General features: G+C 46.5%; 1 protein-coding gene and 1 pseudogene across 2 annotated transcripts in view, besides 1 other annotated feature; both read right to left on the reverse strand.

Moving 5' to 3' along the window:
• The window catches only part of CHRNB4 (cholinergic receptor nicotinic beta 4 subunit), a 37531-nt gene extending 25560 nt beyond the window's left edge, over positions 1-11971 (reverse strand). Inside the window, exons 1-4 of one of the 2 annotated variants that reach the window (XM_011521186.3) lie at positions 10842-11971; positions 8610-8699; positions 5874-5993; positions 2908-3001 (exon numbers count right to left, since the gene is read on the reverse strand). The gene's annotated coding sequence lies outside the window, so the exon portion shown is untranslated. The remainder of the gene's footprint in view (positions 1-2907; positions 3002-5873; positions 5994-8609; positions 8700-10841) is intronic. The other variant, XM_011521187.3, reaches the window with a different exon arrangement.
• Positions 10672-11871: an enhancer, noted in NCBI's record as "CDK7 strongly-dependent group 2 enhancer chr15:78952684-78953883 (GRCh37/hg19 assembly coordinates)". NCBI's record gives its function as "activates an origin of replication core promoter dependent on BRD2, BRD4, P300/CBP, MED14 and CDK7 cofactors, with strong dependence on CDK7, by STARR-seq in HCT116 cells {active_cell/tissue: HCT116}" and the evidence as "EXISTENCE:reporter gene assay evidence [ECO:0000049][PMID:35650434]".
• Positions 11338-11971, reverse strand: RPL18P11 (ribosomal protein L18 pseudogene 11; annotated as a pseudogene).

The following is a 21494-nucleotide window of genomic DNA, read 5'->3' on the forward strand; positions in this document are numbered from 1 at the left end:
ATAACATACGTGGACATATACATATTAGCTAACATTTAAAAACATGTTTAAAGATACCCACGTAAGTAGCAGAAGAATAAAATTGCACGAGTGATAAACTCTAAATTCAGAGAAGTGGTTACCTCTGGGGATGGGAAGAAAAATAATCATGGGGGGAGGTTCTGGGGGTTTTGTTTCATAAATAAATTTGCTTTAGTTCATAAAATGAAAAAAGAAGGTCTGAAGCAAATATGACTACATATGAGTATGTTTGAACAACTCCGGATAATGGTTCCCAGGTGTTTGTTATGTGGGTTCCTATAGATTTATGTATGTTTGAAATATTTTATCAATTTTGTTTTTTTTAAAGGAGTGCCTTTTCATGAGTGTGCCCAGGAGGAGGATGGCTGTGGACATGGGCAGGCGCCCTCCCTGCTGTGCACCCGGTCCCTTGTCTGGCCTAGCCAGGCCCCAGCTGCAGGCTGAGCAATTGTCCATAGGCCAGAGAGACTGACATCCTGGCCTGGGGTTCTGCCCGTGACTGTCGTGTGCCCTTCTTACAGTTGCTTTGGCAGTGGGTGAGCCTAGTTGGCTCCACTAGCTGAGGCCCAGGCTGCAGTGGTGCTGGCCAGAGAGGATGGAGTTAGCAGCCTGGGACCTGCCACAAATGACAGCAGGAGTCAGAGCCCAACTTCCCCATCTGTGGAGTGAGATGATAGATCTCATGGTGTCCAAGGATTCATCCAGCTCTGTTTTCCTGGGCCCAGGGTTTGTCCTAAGACCTGTAGCTGATGCCTTGGGCTCCAGACTCTCTAATTAAGGAAGTAAGAGCCAAGCAGAAGTTGGTCTTCACATTCCTGGCTTTTCACCCCCAACCTGAACTGCCTTTCTCTGGCTTCCCCATCAGTGCTGGTGCCCCTTGAGGAGAAGCCTTACAGAGGAAGAGTTGGCCAAAAGGGGCATTTATGTGTGATTTGGAAGGCAGAAGGAAAGAGGCAGCCATTGCTGTCTGAAGGTGGCCGTGGCCGCAAGTGGTGTCACTGGCCAGGTCTAGGTCCATTCTGCCGGTGTACAGCAAGTCAATCACTGTGACACAGGTCCTGATTTATGCACAAGGCCACCAAACGAGGAGGGGGAAGAACAGCTCTCAAATCCACCTCTGCAGAGATAAGGCTTAGGGTTGCTTATGGGCTAGGGAAGTGTGATGGTCTAAGATGTGGGGAGAGGTGATTGGCAGCGGGGAAAAATGAAGTCATAGGTTTGTTTCGTGCAAGTGTAGTCGGGCTTTGTGAGATTTCATAGGGCGTAAGTGCAGAAAATGATGGCATTAGCATGATCTGAAGGTGGAGTATTTGGCCCTCTGACATCAAAATGGACCTTTTCTCGGGCATTGGCACAGGTCCAGTTGAAGGGTCAGTGATCTCAACCAGTTTGAACTGGACAGGAGCTGGCCCAAGTTCCTGAAAAACAGCTGAAGCAACCATGACCATGGCAACCTATGACTCTGATCTATAAAGCAGCCAGTGATCTATAAAGCAGCCAGTGAAGGTTGAGGTTCAGCCTTCAGTGGACTAAGGCCTCAGGGTTCATGGATAAAACAAAAACAAAACAAAAAGCAAGCGGCCAAAAGCAAGCAGGGTGGCAGGCAGACCTGATCAAATTCACCCCTTGGTTTCAGCAGTGACAGATGTAGTGGTGCTGGCAAATGCCAGCTTGTCCTCACTCTGCCCTGAGTCCAGCTCTTCTCCCCGACTGCTGACCATATGACCTGCACTGACCCTAAGTCTACCATAGGCATTTTGTGCAGATCCACAGATGTGGGAGCTCTGCAAGGCACAGCTGCCCAGAGACCTCTCCAGGGCCTTGCCCTTGGTGGTCCCACCAGAAGCTGGACATGTTTCAGCTTCTCAGATTGACCGAGAAGTGGACCCCTTCTCTGACTCTCCAGCTCCCTCCCCACACCTCTACTTCCCAGCCCCTCCACAATCATGTAAGGTCTAATTGTGCAATAAATCCCTTAGCCCATAACTCACATGGTTCTGTTTCTTCCCTGACTGAATCCTGACACTTCCATCAAGGAGGGTGTAAGCGGCAAGTGCTCTCTGAGCCCTGGGAACACAAGTGAACCAGGATGCCCCCACCCTGGGTAGCCTTCCTTTCTTTAGCAGCTCCAGAAGAAGGCCTGCTTCCTTCAGCCCCTTAGCAGAACTTTTCTTGAAAAGGGTTGCATCTGCCCCACACGAGCCCAAAAGGGCTGCAGGGACAGGGCAGGGTCTTGGATCCTCATCTCTTAGGACAGGTGGTGAGGAAGCCACAATATACCTGGTAGCTACTTGGTGCTAGATACTTCATCATTTTGTCCTCACAAGAAGCTACTGCCCCATCTTCCAGTGAGAAAGCTGACAGGGAAGGAGTTTGGTGAAGCTGGAGTTTGAACCTGTGATTACCAAGCAGCAAAATCCACAGGTCCTTCACTTGTAACTTGCCCACAGCTGCAGCAGGAGGTGGAGCAGTAATTCCTGCCTGTATCTGGCCTCTGCTGGGTCATGGGGCCATAGTCTCCCAGGCCCTGCTGCTCTCTGCTCTTCCCCTTTCCACCTGTGTGCCTCAGTGTGCCTCAAGGCTGAACCTCAACCTTCGCTGGCTGCTTTATAGATCACTGGCTGCTTTATAGATCAGAGTCATAGGTTGCCATGTCTGAGGCACACAGCAGCTGAGGCCACAGAGCCAGTAGCATTGGTGGCTCTGCCAGTGGGGCCTGAGGACATGGGTCAGGGCTGACTCAGACATGAGGCCTTGTGGAGTGCAGCCACTCAGCCTGAAGGGCTTGAGACAAGGAACAGCTGGTTCCCACCCCTCTGGCCAGCACCATCTGAGGCCTCATCATCTGGGCTGGTGGTATCTCAGTGCCTGCTGCTGGCCTGATACCTTGCTCAGTCTCAGAGAATCCTCTCTTCATGCAGCAGATTGGAGTGAGTTTCCTCCACGGCACTTCCGGCCTGGTGACTCCACGACTTTCCATCTATAGATGGTAATGAAGGTAGTGAGCTCAACAGACAAGGGTACCCATTTTGGTTCTGCCATTTTGGAGCTCCATAACCCTGGACTAGCTACTTTCTCCTTTTCCTCATCTATAACGGCTGTCCTGATGCTTCAACAAGGTAATGTGGGTAGAGCATGTCGCAGTGATTTGGCACTCAATAAATGCTCAGAAATGATGGCGGCACTAGGGGTGGTGGTGGAATGGGAGAAATTATAAAAACTTATGGTTGGATTGACTTGGCCTCAAATCTGTTTGGCCACTTAGCAGCTGTGGTGGGCAAGTTATCTCACATTTTTGAGGCTTGCTTTTTCCATCTATAAAAAGAGGGTGATAGTTGTCACCCCGCTCATAGGGTTGGTCTGAGGCTTAAATGGGATAATGAAAGCCTCAGCAGATAGCACACCACCCCTTCCTTCTCTTTTCTCCTATCTCCTTTATAACAGATGGGAATTCAGTAGGTGCTTAATAGTGGCATGATCCTTTGACAATGTAATCCTGACTGTTGCTTCCTCAATCAGTCATAACTAATGATGTGTACTTCCATCTGAAAGTTCTGAGGGAGGCAGGACATTAAGCTGTTTCAAATTCTGGCTTTAAGTCTAAAGGGTTCACTCTACCTTGTCCTGAATCATCTCCTCCCTCCTTCCTGCTAATCAGAAGCATCTGGGCTTTCAGGACTTATCTTGGAAAAGCCGGCCCTGATTCCTCTCAATCTTTATGGACCTCCTCATTGAAGGACCTCCTTACTCCATATTTGATTCTCCATAGCTTGCCTCACCTGGCTCCCCAGCTGTCCACTGACAGCCAGGCAAAGGCTGGCAGTGCTGGCGGAAAACCTGCTGGGTGTTTTTCTTCCCTTTTGTGACTGTGACCACTGCAGAGATATTCAAACCTCCTAGCTGCAAGAATGCAGTTAGCTGCCTGCCTCCAGTGGCTAGCATCTTCAGGCTTTACCTCAGCTTTTGAGGTAGAGGCCACACTTTTCCTGGCAAGCCCCCAAACCAACTACTGAGCACAGCGAGAGTCCTAGGGCCTGCCATTTTTGCTCAACTCAAACTCCAAGTCCTCCTGTTGCGGGGGCTGAAACTTTGTTAGATCTGGCATGGCAATCTGAAGTCTTCCCCTGCCCAATCCAGCTACCTCCTCCTCTTATCATTTACAGTAATTACTGGTCCCCACTGAACCCTCTCCCATTCTTAACTACATCTCAGCATCTGCTGTCCAGAGCACTTACCATCTCCAGCACCATGGAAGGGATGGGTTGCAATGGGCTCCAGGATGAAAGGCTGTGCAGAGGAAGCTCAATGGCTTCAAGGACTCCAGACCCTCAGGGGCTAAAAAGGGACCTGAGAACCTGTCTCTTCCAATTCCCCCTTTCACTTGTTCACATAGCATAAAGACCCAGATCTGTGCCAGGCCATGTGCTTCAGGGATGGATGAAGCCAGGATCCCTCCTCTGGATGAACTTACCAGGGAGAGAAGAAGCCTAATGCTCTGTACCAGGGTTTTGGCACGTTGCTGGGAAAGCCTAATACTCAAAGAGAATTGAGGTAACATTGCTGGGTGCTCCACGTAAGGGCAGATGTTGATTTTTAAGTCTGCCCTGATGGGGTCTGATTTCCTTCTGTTTCCTTTGTTGGAAGTATTTTCAATGGAGACACCTTAAACAATAACAATGACCGCAAAGAACATGCATTCAGTGCTTTCCCATCTGCTGAGCACTATGCTAAGTGTATCAGGTAAAGCCTGGATTAGGAGAGACTGCAGAGGTGAGTCACAGCATCATGTGTCCTGGGCTTGCAATCTGCAGCTTCCTAGCTGTGTAACCCTGGGCAAACTCTTTAACCTCTCTGTGCCTCATGTTTTTCATCTGTTAAGTAGGGAGATCAAGAGTATCTTCCGTGTACGTGCTGTGAAAAATAGGCAATGTGAAATCCAGACAGGCAGATTCCGGAGTCCAGATCATCCCTATACTGTCTGTAACTACAGCACTCATCTAAGGTCTGGTGAAAGAGCTTTTTTAAAAAAACTTTTAATTGAGATATATGTATAGAATAGTTCACAAATAAATGTTCAGCTAAATGAATTTTCACAAACTGAACACACCTGTGTAACCAGCATCCAGCTCAAGACACAGACATTACCAGCACCCTAAAAGACCCCCTGTACTTCCTCCAGGTCCCCACCCTCCCAAATGGAGCCACTGTTCTAATTTCTAAATGGTATAGATTTATTTCACCTGGTTTTAAGAGTTTCCCCCCACCCCAACTTTATGGACGGATAACTGGAGTACAATCAACTGCACATTTTAAAAATGTACAACTTGATTAGTGTTGTTTGTGTTCACTCATGAAGCCAAAATTCAGACAGCAAACATTTCCATAATCCCCCAAAGTTTTCTCATGCCCCTTTGTCATCCACCGCTCCCTCCAATCCTGTCCCAGGCTGATCTGCTTTCTGTCTCTATAGATTAGTTTGCACTTTCTAGAATTTTGTATGAACACAATTATACAGTACATAATTTTTTTTTTTTGAGAGTGAGACTTGCTCTGTCACCTAGACTGGAGTGCAGTGGCGTGATCATGGCTCACTGCAGCCTCAACCCCCAGGCTCAAGCGATCCTCCCCCACCTCCCAGCCTCCCTATCCTAGCAGCTGGGACTACAGCTGCACACCACCACACCTGGCTAATTTTGTGTATATATACGTTACATATCTATATATATCTATATATCTATATCTATATATATCTATATCTATATATATCTATATATCTATATCTATATATATCTCACATATAATTACATATGTATATAAAATAGAAAAAATTAGCCGGATGAGGTGGTACTTACCTATTGGTCCCAGCCACTTGGGAGGCTGAGGTAGGAGGATCGCTTGATCCAGGGGAGGTCAAGGCTGCAGTGAGCCACGATGGTGCTACCACACTCCAGCTCGAGCAACAGAGCGAGACCCTGTTTCAAAAACAAAACAAAAATTGTTTTAGTTACTCTAGGTCCTGTCCATTTTCATATGCATTTTAAAACCAACTTTTCAAATTCTGAAAAAAAGAAACACAACAATGTCTGCTGAAAATTTTGGTTGGAATTACATTGAGTATATAGACAAACTGGGAAAGAATTATCATATTGGGCAATTTTGTGTCTCCCAATACAAAACATGGCATATCTCTCCATTTATTTAGTTCCTCTTCAATTTCACAGTGTTCTATAGTGTTCAGTGTAGAGGTTTGATAGATTTATTTTTAGGTATTTTATAAAATTTTTGGTGCCACTCTAAATGAGATTTTCAAAATTTCACTTTCAAATTGTTTGCTCCGACATACAGTTAGAAGGAATAAATTCAAGACTGGGTGTGATAACTCACACCTGTAATCCCAGCACTTTGGGAGGCCAAGGCAGCCGGATCACTTGAGGTCAGGAGTTTGAGACCAGCCTGGCCAACATGGTGAAACCCCATCTCTACTAAAAATACAAAATTATCTGGGCATGGTGGCACGTACCTGTAGTCCCAGCTACTTGGGAGGCTGAGGCAGGAGAATTGCTTGAACCCGGGAGGTGGAGGTTGCAGTGAGCTGAGACTGCACCACTGCACTCCAGCCTGGGCAAGAGAGTAAGTCTCTGTCTCAAAAAAAAAAAAAAAAAAGGAATAAATTCAATGATTGATAGCATAGTAGGGTGACTAGGGTTAAACAAAAATGTTCTACACTCATGAGATGGACAGCCTAAATACTGACTTGATCACTATGCATTATATACACGTAACAAAATTTCACACATGCCCCATAAATTTGTGCAAGTAAGTAAATAAAAATCACTTGTAGAATAAAGTAACACAAAGCAAAAAAAAAAATTTGCTGCTAAAAACTTTTATGATGAACTCTCCTTCGTTTCACAACAGGGATGTTGGGAGCACCCAGATATACAGGGAATTCCTGCAGCACTCATTGGCAAACGCTGTAGAAGATAAGATGTCAAAAAGCTGAAAGAAGAGCAGAATGACTAATAAGACTCCAGAGACGGGCATAAAAACCTCCCTTCTTCTGATTCCCTTAATTATACCTCTCACTTTCCAACACGGGGTTTGGGTTGCTCTGGTGGTGAGAGTTGGGGCAGATCCTGCAGTGGGAAAAGATCGAAGGCCCTGGGCCCTCTTATTCTACATTCTCTCCCTAGCACACCTGCATGCATAGCTTACAATATCTTCTGTACATTGGAGACCAGGCATCTGCCCTAAGTTCCAGGCATGTATCTCTCATAAGCCCTTAAACTCAGCTTCTCTAGAATGAAACTCACAATCTTCCCTCCAATTGTTTTTCTTTTCTTCTTTTTTTTTTTTGGAGACAGTTTCTGTCACCCAGGCTGGAGTGCAGTGGTACAACCCTGGCTCACTGTAACCTCTGCCTCCTAGGTTCAAGTGCTTCTCCTGCCTCAGCCTCCTGAGTAGCTGGGGTTACAGGCACATGCCCCCACGACTGGCTAATTTTTGTATTTTTAGTGGAGACCATGTTGGCCAGGCTGGTCTCAAAGTCCTGACTTCAAGTGATCTGCTCACCTTGGCCTCCCAAAGTGCTGGGATTACAGGCATGAGCCACTGCGGCCAGCCTCAAACCTGTTTCTTACCCAATGTTTCCTTTACTGTAAATGGCAACCTCCTCCACCAGCTGCACAACACCTAATAGGAATAGTAGTGAATATCCAGTAAATATTTGTTGTATGGATGAGTGAATGAAGATTGGTAGCATAGAAAGTGAATTTACTCTATATAAGTTTTGAAGAAAGTTAACTCCTTTGAGCTGGCTTGGGATGTCTCATGCCTGTTCCCATAATGCTAGAGGCATATTTATTTATTTATTTATTTATGAGACGGAGTCTCACTCTGTCACCCAGGCTGGAGTGCAGTGGCACGATCTCGGCTCACTGCAAGCTCAGCCTCCCGGGTTCACGCCATTCTCCTGCCTCAGCCTCCCAAGTAGCTGGGACTACAGGCACTCCCCACCACGCCCGGCAATTTTTTGTATTTTTAGTAGAGACAGGGTTTCACTGTGTTAGCCAGGATAGTCTTGATCTCCTGCCCTCATGATCTGCCCGCCTCGGCCTCCCAAAGTGCTGGAATTACAGGCCTGAGCCACCGCGCCTGGCTGAGGCATCATAATTTAAATAAAGTTCCATCAGACTCTGTATCAGAGCAGGTCCTTTCTCCTGTGTTGCTCTGGGACCTCACTGAGACCACAGCTACAAGCAGGGAAGAGGGTGGGGCACTTTTGATTCTGGGGACACATATATCATTATTCCTCACAATGACTGTCTCTTGTTTCTCTTTTTTTTTTTTTTTTTTTTTTGAGAAGGAGTCTCACTGTTGCCCAGGCTGGAGTACAGTGGCATGATCTCAGCTCACTGCAATCTCTGCCTCCTGGGTTCAAGATATTTTCCTGTCTCAGCCTCCCGAGTAGCTGAGATTACAGGTGCCTGCCACCATGCCTGGCTAATTTTTGTATTTTTAGTAGAGATGGGGTTTCACCATGTTGGCCAGGCTGGTCTTGAACTCCTGACCTCAGGTGATCCACTCACCTTGGCCTTCCCAAGTGCTGGGATTACAGGTGTGAGCCACCACGCCTAGCCTCTTGTTTATTTCTATATCACCTGGGCCTTGGCTCAGTCCTAGAACGCAGAGATAATAAATGTTTGAATGAATGAATGAATGAAATAACTCCATTGTCTAAGTACTATTTGTCCCTTTTTATAGATAAGAAATCTGGGGCTCAGAGACTGCCCTCCCTAGGAAGCAGCAACAACCGGGGGACAAACCCAGTCCTCTTGGTCCCCAGATCAGTGATTCCTCTACTGCATCAAGAAAGTTGTAATTACTTGCCCTTGGTGTCTTGGAAAAAAAGAAAAAAGAAAGTTGTAATAACTAAGTACAGATTTCATTTCATCTTCTTTCCAACTAATAGTTCTTAAGTGCTTCCTGCATACCAGGATGAAGCTATCAATGTCCTCTTGAAAGCACAGCTACAAGATTTTGAAGAGGGGGAAAAAAAAGCCTTTCTGCTAGGCCCTGACCTGAACCAATTCTTGGTTATCTAAAGCAGTGGCCTCCAAATAAAAATTCCCAAGACCCTCCCCCAGAAATTCTAATTCATGCATCTGAAGGAGAGGAGATGCCTGAAAACCTCTGTTATAAACACTGCTCTGGGCTGATGTGGTATATAGGCCAGCTGCTGCACACAGTTCAGCAGGAAGGCAGCAGAAAGGAGGGTGAAGAGTAAGCATCTTTATTACTTTATTCACATACATTAACTGAGCATGTACTATGTCCCAGTCACTGTTCTAAGTCCTAGGGATACAGTAGTGGACAAAACAAAATCCTTATTCTCCCTCATTCTATGGGTGGTGGGGGTGTAAGATGGGGAGACAATGACCAAGTAAAGAAATAGGGCCAGGTGAGGGTGGCTCATGCCTGGAGTCCCAGCACTTTGGGAGCCTGAAGCAGGTGGGTCATTTCAGCCCAGGAGTTTGAGACCAGCCTGGGCAACATGGTTAAACCCCATCTCTTCCAAAACAAACAAACAAACGCTAGCTGGGTATGATGGTTCATGCCTGTAGTCCCAGCTACTCAGGAGGCTGAGGTGGGAGGATCACTTGAGACTGGGAGGCAGAGGTGAGCTGAGGTCACGCCACTGCACTCCAGCCTGGGCAACAGAGAAAGACCGTGTCTCAAAAAGAAAGAAAGAAAAAGAAACATACAGGATAACTGCTGCTTGTGGTGGTGAAGGCTCTAGAGAAAACAAAACAGAGTGATGTGCTGCAGGGTGACAGAGAAGGGGTACCCTAGCTCTCTGAGGAGGTGACATTTGAGACCTGAATGACCAGAAGGAACCAACCCTACTCTGGGAGAAGAATATTATAGGCAGACAGAGTAGGAGATGGCAAAGTCACAGAGGGACAGTCTTGGCATGTGAGGCTGATGTTGTGTGAACAAGGAGAACAGCCTAAAATATGGTTAGACAGAGATAGTGAGGCAGGAATCATCATTTAAGGTCTTCAAATTAGGAAAAGGGTTTAGTTTCTTCTGGAGAGTTTTAAGCAGGGAGTGATGTGACATGATTGCTTTAATTGGCTTGTTTTAGCTGCTGGATGAAGACAAGAGTCTAGGGGTTCAATGTGGGAGCAGGGAACCAGTGAGGAGGCTCACAGGAGTCCAAGCTAGAGATGATGATGGGTGCGGTGGCTCATGCCTGTAATCCCAGCAGTTTGGGAGGGTGAGGCAGGTGGATCACTTGAGGCCAGGAGTTCAAGACCAGCCTGGCCAACATGGTGAAACCCCTTCTCTACTAATAATACAAAAATTAGCCAGGCGTGTTGGTGTGCACCTGTAATCCCAGCTACTCAGGAGGCTAAGGCAGAAAAATTGCTTGAACCTGGAAGGCAGAAGCTGTAGTGAGTCGAGATCACGCCACTGCACTCCAGCCTGAGCAACAGAGCAAGACTCCGTCTTAAAAAAAAAAAAAAAGTGAATATAAATATGACTACAAAACTGCCTGTGAGCTGCTACTCTGGGCACACTGCCTATGGGGTAGCCCTGTCCCACAAGGAGCAGTCCCTCTGCTGTTGCAGTACACTGCAGCTTCAATAAAAGTTGCTAACAGCACTGGCTCACCCTTAAATTGTTTCCTGGGAGAAGCCAAAAACCCTCCTGGGCTAAGCCCCGATTCTGGGGCTCACCTGCCCTGCATCAATATTCTCCTTTCTAGTAAAAACCTACTATGACGTGGCACTCTTCTGGACATTTGATAAACTTACCTCTGCTTTCCCATCAGGTCTGTGAGGTGGTGTAGTTCTTGCCATTTGACAGGTAAGTCGGCAGAGGCTCATAGAGGGCCCCACGTCACAGTCCCTGTAAGGGTCAGTGCGACGACTGGAACCCAAGTGTGTGTCACACTGACCTCATGCTTGTCCATCACTCCACACAGCCTTCGATGCAGGAAATAGGCTGGTTTCTGATGCACCTGGTGTCTGAGAGAAGCTTTGGTTCTTTCACTTTTCAGCTTTGCCCTGGCCTGGGCCCAGGCCCTACTCCCGAGGTCAGGCTTGTCCCAAGAGAGGCGGGGCTAGGGTGGGTAATTATCTCAGCGGTTGCTGTGAGCTCCATCCAGCTCAGGTGAGTCTTGGGATCCTGGCTTCTCAAACTTTCACGTGCACACAATTGCCTGGGGATTTGATTGAAACGCAGTTTCTGACTCAGCAGGACAAGGGTGGGGTCCACATTTCTTTCTTTCCTCTCTTTCTCTCTTCTTCCAAAATCTTTTTAATAAGAGGGTAGGCGCCAGGGTTAGTTTTTGTAGTCTCGGCTGGCCCTTTGACCTCTGGCGCGCTTGAACTTCCGGCCCTTGGAGCGGACGTAGGCTTTGGTGTGGCTGTGCGGCGTTCCTGGGGCCTTGCCGAAATGCCGGTACACCTCTTGGCCCTTGAGAGAACCAAAGAGCGGAATGGTGCTGCTGCCCTTGGGGGAGTCCAGGGCCAGCTGGTCAAAAGTGAGGATCTTGCCCCCTGCCCCGCCCTGAGGATGCGGCGGCAGCCCGGCTGGTCACACACAGTGCACACACCTTCAGGTTGAGAACCTCCTGAACCCGCACATCATCCATTATGGTCCCCAAGACCACGGCCATTTTGTTTTCCCGGCCAGGAAGCTTCATCTTCCGGATCATCTGAGCAACAGAGTGACCGGTTGGTGCGACTCATAAACAGCCTCTTCAGTACAACCTGGTTGAATATGGAGTTGATTTGTCTGGCCAGAAAGCTGTACAGCTTGACCAACAGCCTCAGGTAGATATCCCGGCTCTTGGGCTCCTTGCGCGGAACGTTTTTTGGTCCTTGTTGGGGCGGATGTCAACTCCCATGATGGCGCCTCCTGCTCGGCCAGTTCCGGAAAGCCAGGTTTCTAATTTCTAACAAGCCCCGGGTGATGTTGTTACCAAGGTCCACCTGCCACAGTTTATAGAGGGCCGTGGAGGTGGGAGTGGGGTGGGGTAGGCAGAGGAGAGAAACAGGAGGTTGCAGTTGGGACAGCTGTGCTCATCCTCACTTGTAACTGACTCTCGTAAATTGTCATTTAACTTCTCAACACCCACCCTCCTCCCTCATCAATATGATAAAGAAAGAACATCAGAACATCTGTGTTCTTGGTCTCCCAGGAAAGCCCACCCAGTCAGGACCCCAGGATGTGGCAGGCAAGTCCCTCCCTCCCCCTGAAGCCCCAGTGACTCCAGCTCTAGGTGCTTATGCTGGGGTGGGGGCAGGACACTGTGAATCTGCAGCTGCTCCCCACATTGTTGAGGGGAGCGCATAGTATGTGGGGAGAGGTGAGGAGAGGACTTTCCTCTTCCTAGAACTTCTGGTCTGGTCCCCAGGGCACAGGTGTTAATGAAGAAGGAGGAATGGCCTCTTCCTAATGGGCCTTTCAAGGCCTGCCAGAGCCAGCAGGGTGGGCAGGGGACAGGGAGGAACTTGTGCTTCCCGGCAGGGACAGGAACCCGCTGGATGCACCGCTTTGACCTTGGCTCATTGTAAACATGCTCTAATGTGGGGCGTTGAAGCCAAGAGATGGGACAATTATCATTGCAAGGGAAGTTATCTTAAAGTTAATTTATAAATTCCAGTCAAGGTCCTAAAGGAATTGTTAGAAGGGAGGGTGGTAGTGAACTTGGTAAATTCACTTTAAAATCACTGGTAAATGGAGAGAAAAATCAAGTAAATACTGAAAGAAAAAAAGAATGTAGGGGGCTATAACAGTTATAAAAGATATACCAATGTCATGTAGTAGAAAGCCCAGAAGTCCCACGTATACTTTAAATATTTAGCAAATGACACATTTGGCATTTCAAAATGGAGAGGAAATAAATATGGCTGAAAAAATTAAGGATTTGATCTTTCTTCAAACCGCATGCTAACATAAATTCCAAATGGGACAAATAGTTAAATATAAACAAGGAAAATAGAATGAAATAGAAGAAAACATTTATATAATGTCAACGTGAGGGAGGCCATCCTAAGTTTAACATGGAAATAGAAACCATAAAGGAAAGATTGGAAACGTGACTGCAAAAAGATTTATGATATAAAAATGTCATAAAATTAATAAGCAAATAAATCAGGAGAATTTAATGTATGTCAGACAGGGAGTTAATATCGGTACAAATCAATAGGAAAAAGACATATTCCCAATAGGAATGGGCACAGGGCATGAATATGTAGTTTAAAAATAAGTAGATATGGCTGGGCGTGGTGGCTCATGCCTGTAATCCCAGCACTTTGGGGGGCTGAGGTGGGCAGACCACCTGAGGTCAGGAGTTCAAGGCCAGCCTGGCCAACATGGTGAAACCCCATCTCTACTAAAAATAGAAAACTTAGCCAGGCATGGTGGCAGGCACCTGTAGTCCCAGCTACTCAGGAGGCTGAGGCAGGACAATCTCTTGAACCTGGGAGGCGGAGGTTGCAGTGAGCCGAGATCACGCCACTGCACTCCAGCCTGGGTGACAGAGCAAGACTCTATCTCAAAAAATAAAAAAGTAGAAATGACCAGTAAATATATGAAACAACTGTAACCATGAGAACAATAAAAGAAATGTGGCCAAACGCAGTGACTCACGCCTGTAATCCCAGCACTTTGGGAGGCCGAGGTATGAGGATTGCTTGGAGCTAGCAGTCCAGCACCAGCCTGGGCGGCAAAGTGAAACCCCATACCTACAAAAAAAAAAAAAAAAATTTTTTTTTTTTTGAGACAGTTTCACTCTGTCACCCAGGCTAGAGTGCAGTGCCGCGATCATGGCTCACTGAAACCTCTGCCTCCCAGGCTCAAGCGATCCTTCTGCCTCAGCCTCCCAGGTAGCTGGGACTACAGGTGCACATCACCACAACCAGCTAATTTTTGTATTTTGTGTATTCACCATGTGGTTCGTGCTGGTCTTAAAGTTCTGGACTTAAGCTGCCTGCCTCAGCCTTTCAAAGGGTTTGGATTACAGGCATGAGCCACTGCAACAACAACAACAAAAAACTCTCAAGTTTTTTTTATTTTTTTTAATTAGCTGGGCATGGTGATGCACACCTGTAGTTCCAGCTACTCCAGAGACTGAGGCAGAAAGATTGCCTGAATCCAGGCTTCAGTGAGCTATGATTGAGACACTGCATTCCTGCCTGGGTGACCAAGCGAGACCCTGTCTTAAAAAGGGAGGAGGAAGAGGAGGAGAGGACTAAAACCACAAGACACCTCTTTTTCCTGCTGAATTGGCAGAGATAAAAAAGATATAATGACAGCTGGACAGGGAAGAGTTTGAGTAAACAGACACTTATCCACTGCTGGGGCTGTAAACTGGAACAACTGTTCTGTAGGGCCAAAGCCCTAAAAATGCCCCATCTGTTTGTACCAGAACTTTTATTTCTAGAAATAGATCCTGAAGAAATAATCAGATGTGCAAAATGAATGCATCAATATGCATCACAGTCGCACTCACACATGGAATATTGAAACTGCCTAAATGTGCACCCATGAATCCAAACAACTTTCTTCTTGCTCACCCATCAGTCACCCAAGTCCTTCAGTCAAGTTTTAAAAACCAAAGCACCTGTGATTTAGCCTAAGGAGCTTTGCCCCCTTGTGCTGCACAGGGCAGGGCCAGATTGAGCTCTTTGCAGTGGAGCAGAAAGTCCCATCCAGCACTAGAGAAGTGAGTAGCTACTGAGGATTTAACTTGTGCTTTGTTTCTTGGTGTCCAGAAGGAATAGAAAGCATTTTCTGTCTCCCTAGGGACCTGTTTTTGTCTCTAAAACCTGGCTTCTTACCACTCTTGGGCCCTCAAAGCCTGACATGGTTGGATCCACCCCTCACCTCCTCCCCTGCTCACCACCTAGGAAGCCTCTTCTTAGCTCCAGCCACGCAGGTCTTCTTTCAGCTCTTCAAACTCATCATGCCCTCTCTGGCCACACAGTCTTTGCACATGCTGTTCCCTTTGCCCAGAACTTCTCCCATTCTCTCCTGCCTGGTTACTTCTGAACTTGAACGTCCCTGTCTCAGGAGGCTATCCTTGGCCTAAGTTTTTATAGGTTCCTTTTGCGCTCTGCATTCTACCTACAATTTCACATTAATTTATGCAAGTGTTTTGTTTCTGTCTCTCTCTCCCAAGATTCTCAGCACCATGTGGCAGTTGTATGTAGCTCCAGTATCCACACGGTGCATGACACATGGCTGGGCTTCAACACGGCTAACCCATGGCTCTAGGAGATTTTCTTTTATTATTTCTTTGGTAACCCCTTGCCCTTTGTTTTCTCTGTTCTCTTTCTGGAGTGTCAACTGGTTGGTTGAACTTGAATCAGTCCTTGAAGTATTTTATTTCTCCTCTTGTATTTTTTTTTCTTTTTTATGTTTTGTCTGCATTCTAGACATTCCATCAATTTTATTTTCCAAGCCATCTAGCAAGTTTTATTTTGGTAACCATATTTTTAATTGTAAAAAGTTACTTCTTTTTTGAGATGGAGTCTCACTCTGTCGCCTAGGTTGGAGTGCAGTGGCGTGATCTCAGCTCACTGCAACCTCTGCCTCCCAGGTCCAAGCGGTTCTTGTGCCTCAGCCTCCCGTGTAGCTGGGATTACAGGCACACCACTGCATCTGGCTAATTTTTGCATTTTTGGTAGAGACGGGGTTTCACCATGTTGGCCTGGCTGGTCTCAAACTCCTGACCTCAGGTGATCTGCTCACCTCGGCCTCCCAAAGTGCTGGGAGTACAGGCATGAGCCACTGTGCCTGGCCAAAAAGTTACTTCTTTTATGTTTGCACACACATGTTCACAGCAGCATTATTCACAATAGCCAAAAGGTGGAAACAACTCAAGTGTCCATAGACAGATGAATGGATAAACAAAATTTGGTATATCCATACAATGGACTATTATTCAGCCTTAAAAAGGAAGGTAATTCTGACACATGCTACATTAGTGAACCTTGAAGACATTATGCATGTGAAGTAAGCCAGTAACAAAGGACAATTATTGTATGATTTCACTCATATGAGATACTTAGAGTAGTCAAATTCATGGAGACAGAAAGTAGAATGGTGGTTGCCAGGATCGGGGCCAGCCAGGGATGGGGAATTTTTGCTTCATGGGTACAGAGTTTCAGTTTTGCAAGATAAAAAAGTGTTCTGGAGATGGTTGTTGATGACGGTTTTAGAACAATGTGAATATCCTTAATGCCACTGATGTGGTTAGACTTTGTGTCCCCACTCAATCTCATCTTGAATTATAATCCCCAGGTGTTTAGGAAAAGACCTGGTGGGCAGTGACTGGAGTATGGGGGCAGTTTTCCCTATGGGGGCAGTTTTCCCCATGCTGTTCTCTTAATAGTGAATGACTTCTCACCCGATCTGATGGTTTTATAACTGGTAGTTTTTCCTGCACTGACGCATACTCTCTCCTGCCCTCACGTGAAGAAGGTTCTTGCTTCCCCTTCTCCTGCCATGATTGAAGTTTCCTGAGGCCTCCCCAGCCATGTGTAACTGTGAGTCAATTTAACCTCTTTCCTTTGTAAATTACCTAGTTTCGGGTAGTATCTTTATAGCAGCGTGAAAACAGACTAATACAGCCACGGAACTGTACATTTAAAAAAGGTTAAAATGGTGAATTTTATATTATGTATTTGCCACAATCTTTAAAAAGATAATTGTTTCTCTGTTCCTTTTTTTTTTAATATCTTGGGTGTGTTTTTTTTAAGTTGTATTTCCTTGAGCTTTCCTGAGAATACACGTTTTCTTTATTTCTTTTTAATCTTTTATTCTCTGAAGGTTCTCTAAGGACTTCTTTGGCTCTTTCTCCTTCACTTTGGAAGCTTTTCTAAAATATATGGGGCTACCTGGTGTCCTTCCATATCTAAAGGAACTTTGTGCACAGGCCAAAGGGGGTTATGTGCACGCGGGCAGAGCTTAGAGTGGGAACCAGTCATTACACTCATGGACCCCTAAATGCCGCCATAAGGGGGCTTCCTCAAGGGTGCCGACCACTACACTAGCAGCACCTATCTCACCAGGCAGTATACACAGTTCTCTTTAGAGACAGTCTCTGATTTTTTTCCTTGGGGTAAGTGCCTGGCTGAACCCATGACTTGGGGGAAAGGGCATTAACTGTCCCTACCTGGATCTTCGTTTATTCTGCCTGTTCCAGCCCCATTTTCACTTTGCCCTCTGTGATACCTGCGCTGGAGCCTGGAGGCTCCCTCAGGTTCTCATAGGCAGATGGCTCAGCCCCGCTGCACCCCAGCCCCTCTAATCTACCCCACAGGTCTCTAACTCCTTTTCATTTTCCAGATGAAATCACTTGTCTGCTAATGACTAACGACTTTCTTCCATCCTCTTTGTTTCTTTTTTTCTTTTTTTTTTTTTTTTTTTTTTGGTTGAGGAAGAGTCTTGCTGTGTCGCCCAGACTGGAGTGCAATGGTGCAATCTCTGCTCACTATAACCTCCGCCTCCCGGGTTCAAGCAATTCTTCTGCCTCAGCCTCCAGAGTAGATGGGATTATAGGCACACACCACCATGCCCAGCTAATTTTTGTATTTTTAGTAGAGATGGGGTTTCGCCATGTTGGCCAGGCCGGTCTCAAACTCCTGACCTCAGGTGATCTGCTCACCTCGGCCTCCCAAAGTGCTGGGATTACAGGTGTGAGCCACCGCATTCAGCCTGTCATGTTTGTTGTTGTGGCTTAGACTGTTTAAAACACTGGTCCATCAGTTGAATGGAAGGAGAGGATATAAATGTGCCTTCTCAGTCCCCATCTTGAATCCCATTCATTCCCACAGCTGCTGCCCTAACTCAGCCTCATTTTTCTACCTGAGATATTGTGGCTCTGCCACCTCCAGCCCCTTCGTCCCCAGCACATGCTGCGACAGCCAGGGTGACCTTCCAAAAGCAGGAATCTGAGTGTAGATCCCTGTTTGAACTCCTCAGTTGACCTTTAGAACCAGCAGGATCAAATCTTCCATGACATTCAAGGCCTTTCGTGAGCTGGACTCTGCCTGTATCTCTAGCCTCATCTCTTTGTAGTTTCTCAGTGAGCTGTGCTCTTAGATGCCTCCTAATGTTAGCTCATGCTGGCCCCTGGCCTGGAACACTCTTTTCCCCCTTCTATTCTTAGATGGCTTGAATCCGTCTGCTGGAGGAAGGAATACTTATGCCCCTACTCTTGTTTTTTCCTTGCACGTGGAGGGAAATCATCAGGGTAACTCTCCTGGACTCCCATTTCCGCACCACCCACCTCCCTGCAGGAGCTCCAGCATTGCCTCCTCCAGACAGCCCTGTGTGATTGTCCAGTCTGGGGCAGGTTCCTCTTCTGTCCTTTACAGTCTCCGATATACTTAACACACTAAATGGCCAGGGCCTGAAGAGAGGCAGAGCAGAACAAGTCATGTTTGGTGGCTCCTATCTGCACAGCCCACATCCACGTCTTGGGGTACAGCAGGAATCTAAGCCCCTCTGGCTAAGCTGTTCCCATGCCATTCAGCATGGAGGCAGCAGTGCCTGTCACTAGGCAGGAGCTAAGTTCTGCATCCTCCTGGCTTACTCCCTCCCTCCTCTACTAGTTTTGGTTACCGGGATTCCTTCATAGCAGCCTCCCTCTCAGGTTAGCCTTTGTCCCCAATCCAGATGCCTATAGAGTCACATCACCATGGGAGGGTATGATTATGATTCCCCAAAACTGACCCTGCCCTAGAAGCCAAGTGAATTGTGCAGTATGAGTCCTGAAGCTCCTTTTGGGTTCACTCTCCAACTAACTCCATGTCTTTTTTAGGGAATGGTTTTTGTGACCTTGTCTGTAAGCGCTGGAGGTGTACGCATGCCTGATAGAAAGGTGCACAGAACCCATTTGTGTAGAAGCTTAAGGAGAAAAGAACCGGGCCAGGCACGGTGGCTCACCCCTGTAATCCCGGCACTCTGGAAGGCCGAGATGGGCAGATCACAAGGTCAGGAGTTCGAGACCAGCCTGGCCAACATGGCGAAACCCTGTGTCTGCTAAAAATACAAAATTTAGCCAGGCATGATGGTGGGTGCCTGTAATCCCAGCTACTTGGGAGGCTGAGGCAGGAGAATCACATGAAACTGGGAGGTGGAGGTTGCAGTGAGCTGAGATTGTGCCACTGCACTCTAGCCTGGGTGACAGAGCAAGACTCCATCTCAAAACAAACAAACAAACAAAAAAATATATATATATATATAAAGAGGCGTATTGAACAGCATGTCCCTGATTTTGGTGATCCATGTTTGAAATAAGTCTACCACAGACTGATAAATCTAAAATGAAACAAAACTCAGTGTGCCAAGTGTGGTACAATGCGGTCCTACAGTTAAATTGGGTTGTCCCCACTTCCCCTCCCCCAGAGATGTAGATGAGGTATGAAAGGGAGCAGAGCTGGCCTGGGAGGGAGAGGGGAGGAGGAGGAGGAGGAGATGGGGATGGTCGGCTCTGTTCCCTGAGGGAGTTGATTCATAAACTGCTACAGAAGTGGCTCAGAAAGCATGCTCTGAGGAACATTAACTTGTAAGCCCCTGCTACCAGCCCTGAAAAAGCATTCCAAACCAAATAGGTTTGGGAACCCAGAGCACCCAATGCCTCTCCTGGGGAGTCCCAATTTACATTGGCATATTAAAGGCTCTGAGAAGTCCCACAGTAAATAAACTTGTATATTTTTGATTAATCCAGTTCTTCCCAAATGTCTTTAAATTTGTTAACATTCTATGAAAATATTTTAAGAAATGTTGTGTACTTTAGGATTTTTCTACTCAAAATTTGGTTCCCAGCCAGGCATAGCGGCTCATGCCTATAATCCTGGCACTTTGGGAGATTGAGGTGGGTGGATCACTTGAGCCCAGGAGTTCAAGACCAGTCTGAGCAACATGATGAAACCCTCTCTCTACAAAAAATAAAAAATAAAAATAAATGCAAAACAAACAAAAACTTTGGTTGCGGGACCTGCAGCATTAGCATCACCTGCAAGCTTGTTAGAAATGCATAATCATAGATCCCGTCCCAGAACTACAGATTCAGAATTCTGGGGCTAGGGCCTAAGAATCTGCATATTAATCAGCCTTCCAGGTGACTTTTATGTATCCTGGGGTTGGATGATCCCTGCTTTAGGGCAGTGGTTTTCAAAGTGTGGCCCGTGAAATTCTGGAGGTCCCCAAAGCCTTTTTAGAGGATCTACAAGGTCAAAGTTATTTTCATAATAGACTATGATGTTAGCCTTTTGCATCGATCATGGAAAAGCAATGGGGAGTAAAACTTCAGTGCCCTAACCCACATCAAGGCGGTGGCACCAAACTGTTCTGGTGATCATAGTTTTCTTCACCATCACACACTTACAGCAAGTGGAACTTGGCATTTCATTTCTGACTGCCCTTGATAAAGCAAATATATATGTATTAATTTTGTGAAATCTCAACCTCTGAGTTCACATCTTTTTAATAATCTGTGAACAAATGGGAGGTAGACATAAAGCACTTCTGTTTCATAGCAAAGTATAAATATCTAGACGAAAAATATTTGTGCAGTCTTTGAGTTGCAAGTTGAACTAGTTGCATTTTTCATGAAACACCATTTTTGCTTGAAAAGATGGTGGACAGGACAGGCACGGTGGCTCATGCCTGTAATCCCAGCACTTCGGGAGGCCGAGGCGAGTGGATAACGAGGTCAGGAGATCGAGACCATCCTGGCTAACACGGTGAAACCCCGTCTCTACTAAAAATACAAAAAATTAGTGGGCGTGGTGGTGGGTGCCTGTAGTCCCAGCTACTTGGGAGGCTGAGGCAGGAGAATGGCGTGAACCTGGGAGGCGGAGCTTGCAGTGAGCCGAGATTGCGCCCCTGCACTCTAGCATGGGCGACAGAGTGAGACTCTTGTCTCAAAAAAAAAAAAAAAAAAAAAAAAAAAAAAAAAAAAAAAAAAAAAAAAGGATGGTGGACAAACTACTTATTCAGAGATGGATATTGTCTAAAAAATGAACAAAGTAAGCTTGCCACTTCAAGGGAAACTGACAGTACTTATAGGCAATAGCATTTGAGCTTTCAAGTGAAGATGAGAATTTTGGAAAACTTGTATTTGCTACCACAAGCTTAATATCTTTCCAATACTTACAGACTTTTCTCTTTCTTTTTTTTTTTTGACAGAGTTTCATTCTTGTTGCCCAGGCTAGAGTGCAGTGGCACAATCTCTCGGCTCACTGCAACCTCTGCCTTCTTGGTTCAAGCGATTCTCCTGCCTCGGCCTCCCGAGTAGCTGGGATTACAGGCACCCACCACCACACCTGTCTAATTTTTGTATCTTTAGTAGAGACGGGGGTTTCACCATGTTGGCCAGGCTGGTCTCGAACTCCTGACCTTGTGATCCGCCCGCCTCGGCCTCCCAAAGTGCTGGAATTACAGGC

This window comes from Homo sapiens, chromosome 15 (assembly GCF_000001405.40).
Source record: "Homo sapiens chromosome 15, GRCh38.p14 Primary Assembly".
NCBI lineage: Eukaryota > Metazoa > Chordata > Mammalia > Primates > Hominidae > Homo > Homo sapiens.